General features: G+C 40.7%; 11 annotated features.

The window, feature by feature from the left end:
* Positions 256–1,223: an enhancer, noted in NCBI's record as "OCT4-NANOG-H3K27ac-H3K4me1 hESC enhancer chrX:61697499-61698466 (GRCh37/hg19 assembly coordinates)". NCBI's record gives its function as "activates a minimal SCP1, AML or CMV promoter by ChIP-STARR-seq in primed H9 embryonic stem cells {active_cell/tissue: H9 hESC(primed)}" and the evidence as "EXISTENCE:reporter gene assay evidence [ECO:0000049][PMID:30033119]".
* Positions 3,158–4,125: an enhancer, noted in NCBI's record as "OCT4-NANOG-H3K27ac-H3K4me1 hESC enhancer chrX:61694597-61695564 (GRCh37/hg19 assembly coordinates)". NCBI's record gives its function as "activates a minimal SCP1, AML or CMV promoter by ChIP-STARR-seq in naive H9 embryonic stem cells {active_cell/tissue: H9 hESC(naive)}" and the evidence as "EXISTENCE:reporter gene assay evidence [ECO:0000049][PMID:30033119]".
* Positions 5,094–6,061: an enhancer, noted in NCBI's record as "OCT4-NANOG-H3K27ac-H3K4me1 hESC enhancer chrX:61692661-61693628 (GRCh37/hg19 assembly coordinates)". NCBI's record gives its function as "activates a minimal SCP1, AML or CMV promoter by ChIP-STARR-seq in naive and primed H9 embryonic stem cells {active_cell/tissue: H9 hESC(naive and primed)}" and the evidence as "EXISTENCE:reporter gene assay evidence [ECO:0000049][PMID:30033119]".
* Positions 6,062–7,029: an enhancer, noted in NCBI's record as "OCT4-NANOG-H3K27ac-H3K4me1 hESC enhancer chrX:61691693-61692660 (GRCh37/hg19 assembly coordinates)". NCBI's record gives its function as "activates a minimal SCP1, AML or CMV promoter by ChIP-STARR-seq in naive and primed H9 embryonic stem cells {active_cell/tissue: H9 hESC(naive and primed)}" and the evidence as "EXISTENCE:reporter gene assay evidence [ECO:0000049][PMID:30033119]".
* Positions 7,998–8,965: an enhancer, noted in NCBI's record as "OCT4-NANOG-H3K27ac-H3K4me1 hESC enhancer chrX:61689757-61690724 (GRCh37/hg19 assembly coordinates)". NCBI's record gives its function as "activates a minimal SCP1, AML or CMV promoter by ChIP-STARR-seq in primed H9 embryonic stem cells {active_cell/tissue: H9 hESC(primed)}" and the evidence as "EXISTENCE:reporter gene assay evidence [ECO:0000049][PMID:30033119]".
* Positions 8,966–9,931: an enhancer, noted in NCBI's record as "OCT4-NANOG-H3K27ac-H3K4me1 hESC enhancer chrX:61688791-61689756 (GRCh37/hg19 assembly coordinates)". NCBI's record gives its function as "activates a minimal SCP1, AML or CMV promoter by ChIP-STARR-seq in naive H9 embryonic stem cells {active_cell/tissue: H9 hESC(naive)}" and the evidence as "EXISTENCE:reporter gene assay evidence [ECO:0000049][PMID:30033119]".
* Positions 10,900–11,867: an enhancer, noted in NCBI's record as "OCT4-NANOG-H3K27ac-H3K4me1 hESC enhancer chrX:61686855-61687822 (GRCh37/hg19 assembly coordinates)". NCBI's record gives its function as "activates a minimal SCP1, AML or CMV promoter by ChIP-STARR-seq in primed H9 embryonic stem cells {active_cell/tissue: H9 hESC(primed)}" and the evidence as "EXISTENCE:reporter gene assay evidence [ECO:0000049][PMID:30033119]".
* Positions 11,868–12,835: an enhancer, noted in NCBI's record as "OCT4-NANOG-H3K27ac-H3K4me1 hESC enhancer chrX:61685887-61686854 (GRCh37/hg19 assembly coordinates)". NCBI's record gives its function as "activates a minimal SCP1, AML or CMV promoter by ChIP-STARR-seq in naive and primed H9 embryonic stem cells {active_cell/tissue: H9 hESC(naive and primed)}" and the evidence as "EXISTENCE:reporter gene assay evidence [ECO:0000049][PMID:30033119]".
* Positions 12,836–13,803: an enhancer, noted in NCBI's record as "OCT4-NANOG-H3K27ac-H3K4me1 hESC enhancer chrX:61684919-61685886 (GRCh37/hg19 assembly coordinates)". NCBI's record gives its function as "activates a minimal SCP1, AML or CMV promoter by ChIP-STARR-seq in primed H9 embryonic stem cells {active_cell/tissue: H9 hESC(primed)}" and the evidence as "EXISTENCE:reporter gene assay evidence [ECO:0000049][PMID:30033119]".
* Positions 14,772–15,739: an enhancer, noted in NCBI's record as "OCT4-NANOG-H3K27ac-H3K4me1 hESC enhancer chrX:61682983-61683950 (GRCh37/hg19 assembly coordinates)". NCBI's record gives its function as "activates a minimal SCP1, AML or CMV promoter by ChIP-STARR-seq in primed H9 embryonic stem cells {active_cell/tissue: H9 hESC(primed)}" and the evidence as "EXISTENCE:reporter gene assay evidence [ECO:0000049][PMID:30033119]".
* Positions 15,642–16,609: an enhancer, noted in NCBI's record as "OCT4-NANOG-H3K27ac-H3K4me1 hESC enhancer chrX:61682015-61682982 (GRCh37/hg19 assembly coordinates)". NCBI's record gives its function as "activates a minimal SCP1, AML or CMV promoter by ChIP-STARR-seq in primed H9 embryonic stem cells {active_cell/tissue: H9 hESC(primed)}" and the evidence as "EXISTENCE:reporter gene assay evidence [ECO:0000049][PMID:30033119]".

The raw sequence follows: 16,709 nt of genomic DNA, 5'->3' as shown, positions 1-16,709 counted from the left end.
ATAGTTCAGGTTTGCAACACCCTTGTAGTAGAATCTGCAAGTGTATATTTTGACCACTTTGTAGCCTTCGTTTGAAACGTCTATATCTTCACATCAAACCTAGACAGAAGCATTCTCAGAAAGTTTTCTGCGATGACTGCATTCAACTCACAGAGTTGAACAATCCTTTTGATGGAGCAGTTTTGAAACCCTCTTTCTTTGGAATCTGCAAGGGGATATGGGGACCTCTTTGAAGATTTCACTGGAAACGGGATCATCTTCACATAAGAACTAAACAGAAGCATTCTCGGAAACTACTTTGTGATGTTTGTATTCAACTCCCAGAGTTGAACTTTCCTTTTGAAAGAGCAGCTATGAAACACTCTTTTTCGAGAATATGCAAGTGGATGTTTGGAGGGCTTTGAGGCCTGTGGTGGAAAAGGAAATATCTTCACATAAAAACTAGATAGAAGCATTCTCAGAAACGACTTTGTGAGGAAGGCATTCAACTCATGGAGTTGAACAATCCTATTGATAGAGCAGATTGGAATCACTCTTTTTGTAGAATCTGCAAATGGAGATTTGGACTGCTTTGAGGCCTACGGTAGTATAGGAAGGAACTTCATATGAAAGGCAAACGGAAGCATTCTCAGAATATTCTTTGTGATGATGGAGTTTCACTCACAGAGCTGAACATGCCTTTTGATGGAGCAGTTTCCAAATACACTTTTGGTAGAATCTGCAGGTGGATATTTGGACCTCTCGGAGGATTTCGTTGGAAACGGGAATAATTTCCCATAACTAAACACAAACACTCTGAGAAAGTTCTTCATGATGAATGCATTTAACTCGCAGAGATGAACCTGCCTTTGAGAGTTAAGGTTCGAAACACTCTTTCTGTAGAATCTGCAAGTGGATATTTGGACCACTGGGTGGCCTTCGTTCGAAACGGGTATATGTTCACGTAAAAACTAAAGAGAAGCATTCTCAGAAACTTCTGAGTGATGATTGCATTCAAGTCACACAGTTGAACCCGCCTTTTGTTTGAGCAGTTTTGAAACTGTCTTTTTGTAGAATCTGTAAGTGGATACGTGGACCTCTTTGAAGATTTCTTTGGAAAGGGGAATATTTCCACAGAAAAACTAAACTGAAGCATTCTCAGAAACTGCGTTGTGATGTTGGTGTTCGAGCCGCAGAGTTTAACATTGCTTTTCATAGAGCAGTTTTGAAATATTCTTTTGGCAGAATCTGCAAGTGGACATTTGGAGCGCTTTCAGGCCTGTGGTGGAAAAGGCCTGAAAGCCTTTTCCTTTATCTTCACAGAAAGACGAGAGAGAAGCATTGTCAGAAACTTCTTTGTGATGATTGCATTCAACTCACAGAGTTGAAGATTCCTTTTGAAACAGCAGTTTCGAAACACTCTTTCTGTGGGATCCGCAAGGGGATATTTGGACCTCTTTGAAGATTTCGTTGGAAACGGGATAATCTTCACCTAAAAGCTAAACGGAAGCATTCTCAGAAACTTCTTTGGGATGTTTGCATTCACCTCACAGAGTTGAACTTTCCCTTTGATAGCGCAGCTTCGACACACTTTTTCTACAATGTGCAAGTGGATATTTAGCGGGCTTGGAGGACTATGGTGGAAAAGGAAATATCTTCTCCTAAAAACGACATAGAAGCATTCTCAGGAACTGCTCTGTGATGATTGCATTCAACTCCCAGAGTTGAACATTCCTTTTGATAGAGCAGTTTGCAAACACTCTTTTTGTAGAATCTGCAAGTGGAGATTTGGACCGCTTTGAGGCCTGTGGTAGTAAAGGAAAGAACTTCATATAAAAACTAGACGGTAGCACTCTCAGAAAATTCTTTGTGACGATGGAGTTTAACTCAGAGAGCTGAACATTCGTTATGATGGAGCAGTTTCCAAACACACGTTTTGCAGAATCTGCAAGGGGATATTTGGACCTCTCTGAGGATTTCGTTGGAAACGGGATCAACTTCCCATAACTGAACGGAAGCAAACTCAGAACATTCTTTGTGATGTTTGTATTCAACTCACAGAGTTGAACCTTCCTTTGATAGTTCAGGTTTGCAACACCCTTGTAGTAGAATCTGCAAGTGTATATTTTGACCACTTTGTAGCCTTCATTTGAAACGTCTATATCTTCACATCAAACCTAGACAGAAGCATTCTCAGAAAGTTTTCTGCGATGACTGCATTCAACTCACAGAGTTGAACAATCCTTTTGATGGAGCAGTTTTGAAACCCTCTTTCTTTGGAATCTGCAAGGGGATATGTGGACCTCTTTGAAGATTTCACTGGAAACGGGATCATCTTCACATAAGAACTAAACAGAAGCATTCTCGGAAACTACTTTGTGATGGTTGTATTCAACTCCCAGAGTTGAACTTTCCTTCTGAAAGAGCAGCTATGAAACACTCTTTTTCGAGAATCTGCAAGCGGACGTTTGGAGGGCTTTGAGGCCTGTGGTGGAAAAGGAAATATCTTCACATAAAAACTAGATAGAAGCATTCTCAGAAACGACTTTGTGAGGATGGCATTCAACTCATGGAGTTGAACAATCCTATTGATAGAGCAGATTGGAATCACTCTTTTTGTAGAATCTGCAAATGGAGATTTGGACTGCTTTGAGGTCTACGGTAGTACAGGAAGGAACTTCATATAAAAGGCAAACGGAAGCATTCTCAGAATATTCTTTGTGATGATGGAGTTTCACTCACAGAGCTGAACATGACTTTTGATGGAGCAGTTGCCAAATACAGTTTTGGTAGAATCTGCAGGAGGATATTTGGAGCTCTCTGAGGATTTCGTTGGAAAAGGGAATAATTTCCCATAACTAAACACAAACACTCTGAGAAAGTTCTTCATGATGAATGCATTTAACTCGCAGAGATGAACCTGCCTTTGAGAGTTCAGGTTCGAAACACTCTTTCTGTAGAATCTGCAAGTGGATATTTGGACCACTGGGTGGCCTTCGTTCGAAACGGGTATATGTTCACGTAAAAACTAAAGATAAGCATTCTCAGAAACTTCTGAGTGATGATTGCATTCAAGTCACACAGTTGAACCCTCCTTTTGATTGAGCAGTTTTGAAACTGTCTTTTTGTAGATTCTGTAAGTGGATACGTGGACCTCTTTGAAGATTTCTTTGGAAACGGGAATATTTCCACAGAAAAACTAAACTGAAGCATTCTCAGAAACTGCTTTGTGATGTTTGTGTTCGAGCCGCAGAGTTTAACATTGCTTTTCATAGAGCAGTTTTGAAATATTCTTTTGGCAGAATCTGCAAGTGGACATTTGGAGCACTTTCAGGCCTGTGGTGGAAAAGGCCTGAAAGCCTTTTCCTTTATCTTCACAGAAAGACGAGGGAGAAGCATTGTCAGAAACTTCTTTGTGATGATTGCATTCAACTCACAGAGTTGAAGATTCCTTTTGAAACAGCAGTTTCGAAACACTCTTTCTGTGGGATCTGCAAGGGGATATTTGGACCTCTTTGAAGATTTCGTTGGAAACGGGATAATCTTCACCTAAAAGCTGAACGGAAGCATTCTCAGAAACTTCTTTGGGATGTTTGCATTCACCTCACAGAGTTGAACTTTCCCTTTGATAGCGCAGCTTCGACACATTTCTCTACAATGTGCAAGTGGATATTTAGCGGGCTTGGAGGACTGTGTTGGAAAAGGAAATATCTTCTCCTAAAAACGACATAGAAGCATTCTCAGAAACTGCTCTGTGATGATTGCATTCAACTCCCAGAGTTGAACATTCCTTTTGATAGAGCGGTTTGCAAACACTCTTTTTGTAGAATCTGCAAGTGGAGATTTGGACCGCTTTGAGGCTTGTGGTAGTAAAGGAAAGAACTTCATATAAAAACTGGACGGTAGCACTCTCAGAAAACACTTTGTGACGATGGAGTTTAACTCAGGGAGCTGAACATTCGTTATGATGGAGCAGTTTCCAAACACACGTTTTGTAGAATCTGCAAGGGGATATTTGGTCCTCTCTGAGGATTTCGTTGGAAACGGGATCAACTTCCCATAACTGAACGGAAGCAAACTCAGAACATTCTCTGCGATGTTTGTATTCAACCCACAGAGTTGAACCTTCCTTTGATAGTTCAGGTTTGCAACACCCTTGTAGTACATTCTGCAAGTGTATATTTTGACCACTTTGTAGCCTTCGTTTGAAACGTCTATATCTTCACATCAAACCTAGACAGAAGCATTCTCAGAAAGTTTTCTGCGATGACTGCATTCAACTCACAGAGTTGAACAATCCTTTTGATGGAGCAGTTTTGAAACCCTCTTTCTTTGGAATCTGCAAGGGGATATGTGGACCTCTTTGAAGATTTCACTGGAAACGGGATCATCTTCACATAAGAACTAAACAGAAGCATTCTCGGAAACTACTTTGGGATGTTTGTATTCAACTCCCAGAGTTGAACTTCCCTTTTGAAAGAGCAGCTATGAAACACTCTTTTTCGAGAATCTGCAAGTGGACGTTTGGAGGGCTTTGAGGCCTGTGGTGGAAAGGGAAATATCTTCACATAAAAACTAGATAGAAGCATTCTCAGAAACGACTTTGTGAGGATGGCATTCAACTCATGGAGTTGAACAATCCTATTGATAGAGCAGATTGGAATCACTCTTTTTGTAGAATCTGCAAATGGAGATTTGGACTGCTTTGAGGCCTATGGTCGTATAGGAAGGAACTTCATATAAAAGGCAAACGGAAGCATTCTCAGAATATTCTTTGTGATGATGGAGTTTCACTCACAGAGCTGAACATGCCTGTTGATGGAGCAGTTTCCAAATACACTTTTGGTAGAATCTGCAGGTGGATATTTGGACCTCTCAGAGGATTTCGTTGGAAACGGGAGTAATTTCCCATAACTAAACACAAACACTCTGAGAAAGTTCTTCATGACGAATACATTTAACTCGCAGAGATGAACCTGCCTTTGAGAGTTCATGTTCGAAACACTCTTTCTCTAGAATCTGCAAGTGGGTATTTGGACCACTGGGTGGCCTTCGTTCGAAACGGGTATATGTTCACGTAAAAACTAAAGAGAAGCATTCTCAGAAACTTCTGAGTGATGATTGCTTTCAAGTCACACAGTTGAACCCTCCTTTTGATTGAGCAGTTTTGAAACTGTCTTTTTGTAGAATCTGTAAGTGGATACGTGGACCTCTTTGAGGATTTCTTTGGAAACGGGAATATTTCCACAGAAAAACTAAACTGAAGCATTCTCAGAAACTGCTTTGTGATGTTTGTGTTCGAGCCGCAGAGTTTAACATTGCTTTTCATAGAGCAGTTTTGAAATATTCTTTTGGCAGAATCTGCAAGTGGACATTTGGAGCGCTTTCAGGCCTGTGGTGGAAAAGGCCTGAAAGCCTTTTCCTTTATCTTCACAGAAAGACGAGGGAGAAGCATTGTCAGAAACTTCGTGGTGATGATTGCATTCAACTCACAGAGTTGAAGATTCCTTTTGAAACAGCAGTTTCGAAACACTCTTTCTGTGGGATCCGCAAGGGGATATTTGGACCTCTTTGAAGATTTCGTTGGAAACGGGATAATCTTCACCTAAAAGCTGAAAGGAAGCATTCTCAAAAACTTCTTTGGGATGTTTACATTCACCTCACAGAGTTGAACTTTCCCTTTGATAGCGCAGCTTCGACACATTTTTCTACAATGTGCAAGTGGATATTTAGCGGGCTTGGAGGACTGTGTTGGAAAAGGAAATATCTTCTCCTAAAAACGACATAGAAGCATTCTCAGAAACTGCTCTGTGATGATTGCATTCAACTCCCAGAGTTGAACATTCCTTTTGATAGAGCGGTTTGGAAACACTCTTTTTGTAGAATCTGCAAGTGGAGATTTGGACCGCTTTGAGGCCTGTGGTAGTAAAGGAAACAACTTCATATAAAAACTAGACGGTAGCACTCTCAGAAATCTCTCTGTGACGATGGAGTTTAACTCAGGGAGCTGAACATTCGTTATGATGGAGCAGTTTCCAAACACACGTTTTGTAGAATCTGCAAGGGGATATTTGGACCTCTCTGAGGATTTCGTTGGAAACGGGATCAACTTCCCATAACTGAACGGAAGCAAACTCAGAACATTCTCTGCGATGTTTGTATTCAACCCACAGAGTTGAACCTTCCTTTGATAGTTCAGGTTTGCAACACCCTTGTAGTACAATCTGCAAGTGTATATTTTGACCACTTTGTAGTCTTCGTTTGAAACGTCTATATCTTCACATCAAACCTAGACAGAATCATTCTCAGAAAGGTTTCTGCGATGACTGCATTCAACTCACAGAGTTGAACAATCCTTTTGATGGAGCAGTTTTGAAACCCTCTTTCTTTGGAATCTGCAAGGGGATATGTGGACCTCTTTGAAGATTTCACTGGAAACGGGATCATCTTCACATAAGAACTAAACAGAAGCATTCTCGGAAACTACTTTGTGATGTTTGTATTCAACTCCCAGAGTTGAACTTCCCTTTTGAAAGAGCAGCTATGAAACACTCTTTTTCGAGAATCTGCAAGTGGACGTTTGGAGGGCTTTGAGGCCTGTGGTGGAAAAGGAAATATCTTCACATAAAAACTAGATAGAAGCATTCTCAGAAACGACTTTGTGAGGATGGCATTCAACTCATGGAGTTGAACAATCCTATTGATAGAGCAGATTGGAATCACTCTTTTTGTAGAATCTGCAAATGGAGATTTGGACTGCTTTGAGGCCTACGGTCGTATAGGAAGGAACTTCATATAAAAGGCAAACGGAAGCATTCTCAGAATATTCTTTGTGATGATGGAGTTTCACTCACAGAGCTGAACATGCCTTTTGATGGAGCAGTTTCCAAATACACTTTTGGTAGAATCTGCAGGTGGACATTTGGACCTCTCTGAGGATTTCGTTGGAAACGGGAATAATTTCCCATAACTAAACACAAACACTCTGAGAAAGTTCTTCATGATGAATGCATTTAACTCGCAGAGATGAACCTGCCTTTGAGAGTTCAGGTTCGAAACACTCTTTCTGTAGAATCTGCAAGTGGATATTTGGACCACTGGGTGGCCTTCGTTCGAAACGGGTATATGTTCACGTAAAAACTAAAGAGAAGCATTCTCAGAAACTTCTGAGTGATGATTGCATTCAAGTCACACAGTTGAACCCTCCTTTTGATTGAGCAGTTTTGAAACTGTCTTTTTGTAGATTCTGTAAGTGGATACGTGGACCTCTTTGAAGATTTCTTTGGAAACGGGAATATTTCCACAGAAAAACTAAACTGAAGCATTCTCAGAAACTGCTTTGTGATGTTTGTGTTCGAGCCGCAGAGTTTAACATTGCTTTTCATAGAGCAGTTTTGAAATATTCTTTTGGCAGAATCTGCAAGTGGACATTTGGAGCACTTTCAGGCCTGTGGTGGAAAAGGCCTGAAAGCCTTTTCTTTTATCTTCACAGAAAGACGAGGGAGAAGCATTGTCAGAAACTTCTTTGTGATGATTGCATTCAACTCACAGAGTTGAAGATTCCTTTTGAAACAGCAGTTTCGAAACACTCTTTCTGTGGGATCCGCAAGGGGATATTTGGACCTCTTTGAAGATTTCGTTGGAAACGGGATAATCTTCACCTAAAAGCTGAACGGAAGCATTCTCAGAAACTTCTTTGGGATGTTTGCATTCACCTCACAGAGTTGAACTTTCCCTTTGATAGCGCAGCTTCGACACATTTCTCTACAATGTGCAAGTGGATATTTAGCGGGCTTGGAGGACTGTGTTGGAAAAGGAAATATCTTCTCCTAAAAACGACATAGAAGCATTCTCAGAAACTGCTCTGTGATGATTGCATTCAACTCCCAGAGTTGAACATTCCTTTTGATAGAGCGGTTTGCAAACACTCTTTTTGTAGAATCTGCAAGTGGAGATTTGGACCGCTTTGAGGCTTGTGGTAGTAAAGGAAAGAACTTCATATAAAAACTGGACGGTAGCACTCTCAGAAAACTCTTTGTGACGTTGGAGTTTAACTCAGGGAGCTGAACATTCGTTATGATGGAGCAGTTTCCAAACACACGTTTTGTAGAATCTTCAAGGGGATATTTGGTCCTCTCTGAGGATTTCGTAGGAAACGGGATCAACTTCCCATAACTGAACGGAAGCAAACTCAGAACATTCTCTGCGATGTTTGTATTCAACCCACAGAGTTGAACTTTTCTTTGATAGTTCAGGTTTGCAACACCCTTGTAGTACATTCTGCAAGTGTATATTTTGACCACTTTGTAGCCTTCTTTTGAAACGTCTATATCTTCACATCAAACCTAGACAGAAGCATTCTCAGAAAGTTTTCTGCGATGACTGCATTCAACTCACAGAGTTGAACAATCCTTTTGATGGAGCAGTTTTGAAACCCTCTTTCTTTGGAATCTGCAAGGGGATATGTGGACCTCTTTGAAGATTTCACTGGAAACGGGATCATCTTCACATAAGAACTAAACAGAAGCATTCTCGGAAACTACTTTGTGATGTTTGTATTCAACTCCCAGAGTTGAACTTCCCTTTTGAAAGAGCAGCTATGAAACACTCTTTTTCGAGAATCTGCAAGTGGACGTTTGGAGGGCTTTGAGGCCTGTGGTGGAAAAGGAAATATCTTCACATAAAAACTAGATAGAAGCATTCTCAGAAACGACTTTGTGAGGATGGCATTCAACTCATGGAGTTGAACAATCCTATTGATAGAGCAGATTGGAATCACTCTTTTTGTAGAATCTGCAAATGGAGATTTGGACTGCTTTGAGGCCTACGGTCGTATAGGAAGGAACTTCATATAAAAGGCAAACGGAAGCATTCTCAGAATATTCTTTGTGATGATGGAGTTTCACTCACAGAGCTGAACATGCCTGTTGATGGAGCAGTTTCCAAATACACTTTTGGTAGAATCTGCAGGTGGATATTTGGACATCTCAGAGGATTTCGTTGGAAACGGGAGTAATTTCCCATAACTAAACACAAACACGCTGAGAAAGTTCTTCATGACGAATACATTTAACTCGCAGAGATGATCCTGCCTTTGAGAGTTCATGTTCGAAACACTCTTTCTCTAGAATCTGCAAGTGGATATTTGGACCACTGGGTGGCCTTCGTTCGAAACGGGTATATGTTCACGTAAAAACTAAAGAGAAGCATTCTCAGAAACTTCTGAGTGATGATTGCTTTCAAGTCACACAGTTGAACCCTCCTTTTGATGGAGCAGTTTTGAAACTGTCTTTTTGTAGGATCTGTAAGTGGATACGTGGACCTCTTTGAGGATTTCTTTGGAAACGGGAATATTTCCACAGAAAAACTAAACTGAAGCATTCTCAGAAACTGCTTTGTGATGTTTGTGTTCGAGCCGCAGAGTTTAACATTGCTTTTCATAGAGCAGTTTTGAAATATTCTTTTGGCAGAATCTGCAAGTGGACATTTGGAGCGCTTTCAGGCCTGTGGTGGAAAAGGCCTGAAAGCCTTTTCCTTTATCTTCACAGAAAGACGAGGGAGAAGCATTGTCAGAAACTTCGTGGTGATGATTGCATTCAACTCACAGAGTTGAAGATTCCTTTTGAAACAGCAGTTTCGAAACACTCTTTCTGTGGGATCCGCAAGGGGATATTTGGACCTCTTTGAAGATTTCGTTGGAAACGGGATAATCTTCACCTAAAAGCTGAAAGGAAGCATTCTCAGAAACTTCTTTGGGATGTTTTCACTCTCCTCACAGAGTTGAACTTTCCCTTTGATAGCGCAGCTTTGACACACTTTTTCTACAATGTGCAAGTGGATATTTAGCGGGCTTGGAGGACTGTGTTGGAAAAGGAAATATCTTCTCCTAAAAACGACATAGAAGCATTCTCAGAAACTGCTCTGTGATGATTGCATTCAACTCCCAGAGTTGAACATTCCTTTTGATAGAGCGGTTTGGAAACACTCTTTTTGTAGAATCTGCAAGTGGAGATTTGGACCGCTTTGAGGCCTGTGTTAGTAAAGGAAACAACTTCATATAAAAACTAGACGGTAGCACTCTCAGAAATCTCTCTGTGACGATGGAGTTTAACTCTGGGAGCTGAACATTCGTTATGATGGAGCAGTTTCCAAACACACGTTTTGTAGAATCTGCAAGGGGATATTTGGACCTCTCTGAGGATTTCGTTGGAAACGGGATCAACTTCCCATAACTGAACGGAAGCAAACTCAGAACATTCTCTGCGATGTTTGTATTCAACCCACAGAGTTGAACCTTCCTTTGATAGTTCAGGTTTGCAACACCCTTTTAGTACAATCTGCAAGTGTATATTTTGACCACTTTGTAGCCTTCGTTTGAAACGTCTATATCTTCACATCAAACCTAGACAGAAGCATTCTCAGAAAGTTTTCTGCGATGACTGCATTCAACTCACAGAGTTGTACAATCCTTTTGATGGAGCAGTTTTGAAACCCTCTTTCTTTGGAATCTGCAAGGGGATATGTGGACCTCTTTGAAGATTTCCCTGGAAACGGGATCATCTTCACATAAGAACTAAACAGAAGCATTCTCGGAAACTACTTTGTGATGTTTGTATTCAACTCCCAGAGTTGAACTTTCCTTTTGAAAGAGCAGCTAGGAAACACTCTTTTTCGAGAATCTGCAAGTGGACGTTTGGAGAGCTTTGAGGCCTGTGGTGGAAAAGGAAATATCTTCACATAAAAACTAGATAGAAGCATTCTCAGAAACGACTTTGTGAGGATGGCATTCAACTCATGGAGTTGAACAATCCTATTGATAAAGCAGATTGGAATCACTCTTTTTGTAGAATCTGCAAATGGAGATTTGGACTGCTTTGAGGCCTATGGTAGTATAGGAAGGAACTTCATATAAAAGGCAAACGGAAGCATTCTCAGAATATCCTTTGTGATGATGGAGTTTCGCTCACAGAGCTGAACATGCCTTTTGATGGAGCAGTTTCCAAATACACTTTTGGTAGAATCTGCAGGTGGATATTTGGACCTCTCTGAGGATTTCGTTGGGAAAAGGAGTAATTTCCCATAACTAAACACAAACACTCTGAGAAAGTTCTTCATGATGAATTCATTTAACTCGCAGAGATGAACCTGCCTTTGAGAGTTCAGGTTCGAAACACTCTTTCTGTAGAATCTGCAAGTGGATATTTGGACCACTGGGTGGCCTTCGTTCGAAACGGGTATATGTTCACGTAAAAACTAAAGAGAAGCATTCTCAGAAACTTCTGAGTGATGATTGCATTCAAGTCACACAGTTGAACCCTCCTTTTGATGGAGCAGTTTTGAAACTGTCTTTTTGTGGAATCTGTAAGTGGATACGTGGACCTCTTTGAAGATTTCTTTGGAAACGGGAATATTTCCACAGAAAAACTAAACTGAAGCATTCTCAGAAACTGCTTTGTGATGTTTGTGTTCGAGCCGCAGAGTTTAACATTGCTTTTCATAGAGCAGTTTTGAAATATTCTTTTGGCAGAATCTGCAAGTGGACATTTGGAGTGCTTTCAGGCCTGTGGTGGAAAAGGCCTGAAAGACTTTTCCTTTATCTTCATAGAAGGACGAGAGAGAAGCATTGTCGGAAACTTCTTTGTGATGATTGCATTCAACTCACAGAGTTGAAGATTCCTTTTGAAACAGCAGTTTCGAAACACTCTTTCTGTGGGATCCGCAAGGGGATATTTGGACCTCTTTGAACATTTCGTTGGAAACGGGATAATCTTCACCTAAAAGCTAAACGGAAGCATTCTCAGAAACTTCTTTTGAGATGTTTGCATTCACTTCACAGAGTTGAACTTTCCCTTTGATAGCGCAGCTTCGACACACTTTTTCTACAATGTGCAAGTGGATATTTAGCGGGCTTGGAGGACTGTGTTGGAAAAGGAAATATCTTCTCCTAAAAACGACATAGAAGCATTCTCAGAAACTGCTCTGTGATGATTGCATTCAACTCCCAGAGTTGAACATTCCTTTTGATAGAGCAGTTTGCAAACACTCTTTTTGTAGAATCTGCAAGTGGAGATTTGGACCGCTTTGAGGCCTGTGGTAGTAAAGGAAATAACTTCATATAAAAACCAGACGGTAGCACTCTCAGAAAATTCTTTGTGACGATGGAGTTTAACTCAGAGAGCTGAACATTCGTTATGATGGAGCAGTTTCCAAACACACGTTTTGTAGAATCTGCAAGGGGATATTTGGACCTCTCGGAGGATTTCGTTGGAAACGGGATCAACTTCCCATAACTGAACTGAAGCAAACTCAGAGCATTCTTTGTGATGTTTGTATTCAACTCACAGAGTTGAAACTTCCTTTGATAGTTCAGGTTTGCAACACCCTTGTAGTAGAATCTGCAAGTGTATATTTTGAACACTTTGTAGCCTTCGTTTGAAACGTCTATATCTTCACATCAAACCTAGACAGAAGCATTCTCAGAAAGTTTTCTGCGATGACTGCATTCAACTCACAGAGTTGAACAATCCTTTTGATGGAGCAGTTGTGAAACCCTCTTTCTTTGGAATCTGCAAGGGGATATGTGGACCTCGTTGAAGATTTCACTGGAAACGGGATCATCTTCACATAAGAACTAAACAGAAGCATTCTCGGAAACGACTTTGTGATGTTTGTATTCAACTCCCAGAGTTGAACTTTCCTTTTGAAAGAGCAGCTATGAAACAATCTTTTTCGAGAATCTGCAAGTGGACGTTTGGAGGGCTTTGAGGCCTGTGGTGGAAAAGGAAATATCTTCACATAAAAACTAGATAGAAGCATTCTCAGAAACGACTTTGTGAGGACGGCATTCAACTCATGGAGTTGAACAATCCTAATGATAGAGCACATTGGAATCACTCTTTTTGTAGAATCGGCAAATGGAGATTTGGACTGCTTTGAGGCCTACGGTAGTACAGGAAGGAACTTCATATAAAAGGCAAACGGACGCATTCTCAGAATATTCTTTGTGATGATGGAGTTTCACTCACAGAGCTGAACATGCCTTTTGATGGAGCAGTTTCCAAATACACTTCTGGTAGAATCTGCAGGTGGATATTTGGAGCTCTCTGAGGATTTCGTTGGATAAGGGAATAATTTCCCATAACTAAACACAAACACGCTGAGAATGTTCTTCATCATGAATGCATTTAACTCGCAGCGATGAACCTGCCTTTGAGAGTTCAGGTTCGAAACACTCTTTCTGTAGAATCTGCAAGTGGATATTTGGACCACTGGGTGGCCTTCGTTCGAAACGGGTATATGTTCACGTAAAAACTAAAGAGAAACATTCTCAGAAACTTCTGAGTGATGATTGCATTCAAGTCACACAGTTGAACCCTCCTTTTGATTGAGCAGTTTTGAAACTGTCTTTTTGTAGAATCTGTAAGTGGATACGTGGACCTCTTTGAAGATTTCTTTGGAAACGGGAATATTTCCACAGAAAAACTAAACTGAAGCATTCTCAGAAACTGCTTTGTGATGTTTGTGTTCGAGCCGCCAAGTTTAACATTGCTTTTCATAGAGCAGTTTTGAAATATTCTTTTGGCAGAATCTGCAAGTGGACATTTGGAGCGCTTTCAGGCCTGTGGTGGAAAAGGCCTGAAAGCCTTTTCCTTTATCTTCACAGAAAGACGAGAGAGAAGCATTGTCGGAAACTTCTTTGTGATGATTGCATTCAACTCACAGAGTTGAAGATTCCTTTTGAAACAGCAGTTTCGAAACACTCTTTCTGTGGGATCCGCAAGGGGATATTTGGACCTCTTTGAAGATTTCGTTGGAAACGGGATAATCTTCACCTAAAAGCTGAAAGGAAGCATTCTCAGAAACTTCTTTGGGATGTTTTCACTCTCCTCACAGAGTTGAACTTTCCCTTTGATAGCGCAGCTTTGACACACTTTTTCTACAATGTGCAAGTGGATATTTAGCGGGCTTGGAGGACTGTGTTGGAAAAGGAAATATCTTCTCCTAAAAACGACATAGAAGCATTCTCAGAAACTGCTCTGTGATGATTGCATTCAACTCCCAGAGTTGAACATTCCTTTTGATAGAGCGGTTTGGAAACACTCTTTTTGTAGAATCTGCAAGTGGAGATTTGGACCGCTTTGAGGCCTGTGTTAGTAAAGGAAACAACTTCATATAAAAACTAGACGGTAGCACTCTCAGAAATCTCTCTGTGACGATGGAGTTTAACTCTGGGAGCTGAACATTCGTTATGATGGAGCAGTTTCCAAACACACGTTTTGTAGAATCTGCAAGGGGATATTTGGACCTCTCTGAGGATTTCGTTGGAAACGGGATCAACTTCCCATAACTGAACGGAAGCAAACTCAGAACATTCTCTGCGATGTTTGTATTCAACCCACAGAGTTGAACCTTCCTTTGATAGTTCAGGTTTGCAACACCCTTTTAGTACAATCTGCAAGTGTATATTTTGACCACTTTGTAGCCTTCGTTTGAAACGTCTATATCTTCACATCAAACCTAGACAGAAGCATTCTCAGAAAGTTTTCTGCGATGACTGCATTCAACTCACAGAGTTGTACAATCCTTTTGATGGAGCAGTTTTGAAACCCTCTTTCTTTGGAATCTGCAAGGGGATATGTGGACCTCTTTGAAGATTTCCCTGGAAACGGGATCATCTTCACATAAGAACTAAACAGAAGCATTCTCGGAAACTACTTTGTGATGTTTGTATTCAACTCCCAGAGTTGAACTTTCCTTTTGAAAGAGCAGCTAGGAAACACTCTTTTTCGAGAATCTGCAAGTGGACGTTTGGAGAGCTTTGAGGCCTGTGGTGGAAAAGGAAATATCTTCACATAAAAACTAGATAGAAGCATTCTCAGAAACGACTTTGTGAGGATGGCATTCAACTCATGGAGTTGAACAATCCTATTGATAAAGCAGATTGGAATCACTCTTTTTGTAGAATCTGCAAATGGAGATTTGGACTGCTTTGAGGCCTATGGTAGTATAGGAAGGAACTTCATATAAAAGGCAAACGGAAGCATTCTCAGAATATTCTTTGTGATGATGGAGTTTCACTCACAGAGCTGAACATGCCTTTTCATGGAGCAGTTTCCAAATACACTTTTGGTAGAATCTGCAGGTTGATATTTGGACCTCTCTGAGGATTTCGTTGGAAACGGGAATAATTTCCCATAACTAAACACAAACACGCTGAGAAAGTTCTTCATGATGAATGCATTTATCTCGCAGAGATGAACCTGCCTTTGAGAGTTCAGGTTCGAAACACACTTTCTGTAGAATCTGCAAGTGGATATTTGGACCACTGGGTGGCCTTCGTTCGAAACGGGTATATGTTCACGTAAAAACTAAAGAGAAGCATTCTCAGAAACTTCTGAGTGATGATTGCATTCAAGTCACACAGTTGAACCCTCCTTTTGATTGAGCAGTTTTGAAACTGTCTTTTTGTAGAATCTGTAAGTGGATACGTGGACCTCTTTGAAGATTTCTTTGGAAAAGGGAATATTTCCACAGAAAAACTGAACTGAAGCATTCTCAGAAACTGCTTTGTGATGTTTGTGTTCGAGCCGCAGAGTTTAACATTGCTTTTCATAGAGCAGTTTTGAAATATTCTTTTGGCAGAATCTGCAAGTGGACATTTGGAGCGCTTTCAGGCCTGTGGTGGAAAAGGCCTGAAAGCCTTTTCCTTTATCTTCACAGAAAGACGAGAGAGAAGCATTGTCGGAAACTTCTTTGTGATGATTGCATTCAACTCACAGAGTTGAAGATTCCTTTTGAAACAGCAGTTTCGAAACACTCTTTCTGTGGGATCCGCAAGGGGATATTTGGACCTCTTTGAAGATTTCGTTGGAAACGGGATAATCTTCACCTAAAAGCTAAACGGAAGCATTCTCAGAAACTTCTTTGGGATGTTTGCATTCACCTCACAGAGTTGAACTTTCCCTTTGATAGCGCAGCTTCGACACACATTTTCTACAATGTGCAAGTGGATATTTAGCGGGCTTGGAGGACTGTGTTGGAAAAGGAAATATCTTCTCCTAAAAACGACATAGAAGCATTCTCAGAAACTGCTCTGTGATGATTGCATTCAACTCCCAGAGTTGAACATTCCTTTTGATAGAGCAGTTTTCAAATGCTCTTTTTGTAGAATCTGCAAGTGGAGATTTGGACCGCTTTGAGGCCTGTGGTAGTAAAGGAAAGAACTTCATAGAAAAACTAGACGGTAGCACTCTCAGAAAATTCTTTGTGACGATGGAGTTTAACTCAGAGAGCTGAACATTCGTTATGATGGAGCAGTTTCCAAACACACGTTTTGTAGAATCTGCAAGGGGATATTTGGACCTCTCTGAGGATTTCGTTGGAAACGGGATCAACTTCCCATAACTGAACGGAAGCAAACTCAGAGCATTCCTTGTGATGTTTGTATTCAACTCACAGAGTTGAACCTTCCTTTGATAGTTCAGGTTTGCAACACCCTTGTAGTAGAATCTGCAAGTGTATATTTTGACCACTTTGTAGCCTTCGTTTGAATCGTCTATATCTTCACATCAAACCTAGACAGAAGCATTCTCAGAAAGTTTTCTGTGATGACTGCATTCAACTCACAGAGTTAAACAATCCTTTTGATGGAGCAGTTTTGAAACGCTCTTTCTTTGGAATCTGCAAGGGGATATGAGGACCTCGTTGAAGATTTCACTGGAAACGGGATC

The sequence above is a fragment of the Homo sapiens genome, chromosome X (assembly GCF_000001405.40).
Source record: "Homo sapiens chromosome X, GRCh38.p14 Primary Assembly".
NCBI lineage: Eukaryota > Metazoa > Chordata > Mammalia > Primates > Hominidae > Homo > Homo sapiens.
Note: the sequence above shows the minus strand (reverse complement) of the source record. Positions and strands in the feature narration are given on the sequence as shown.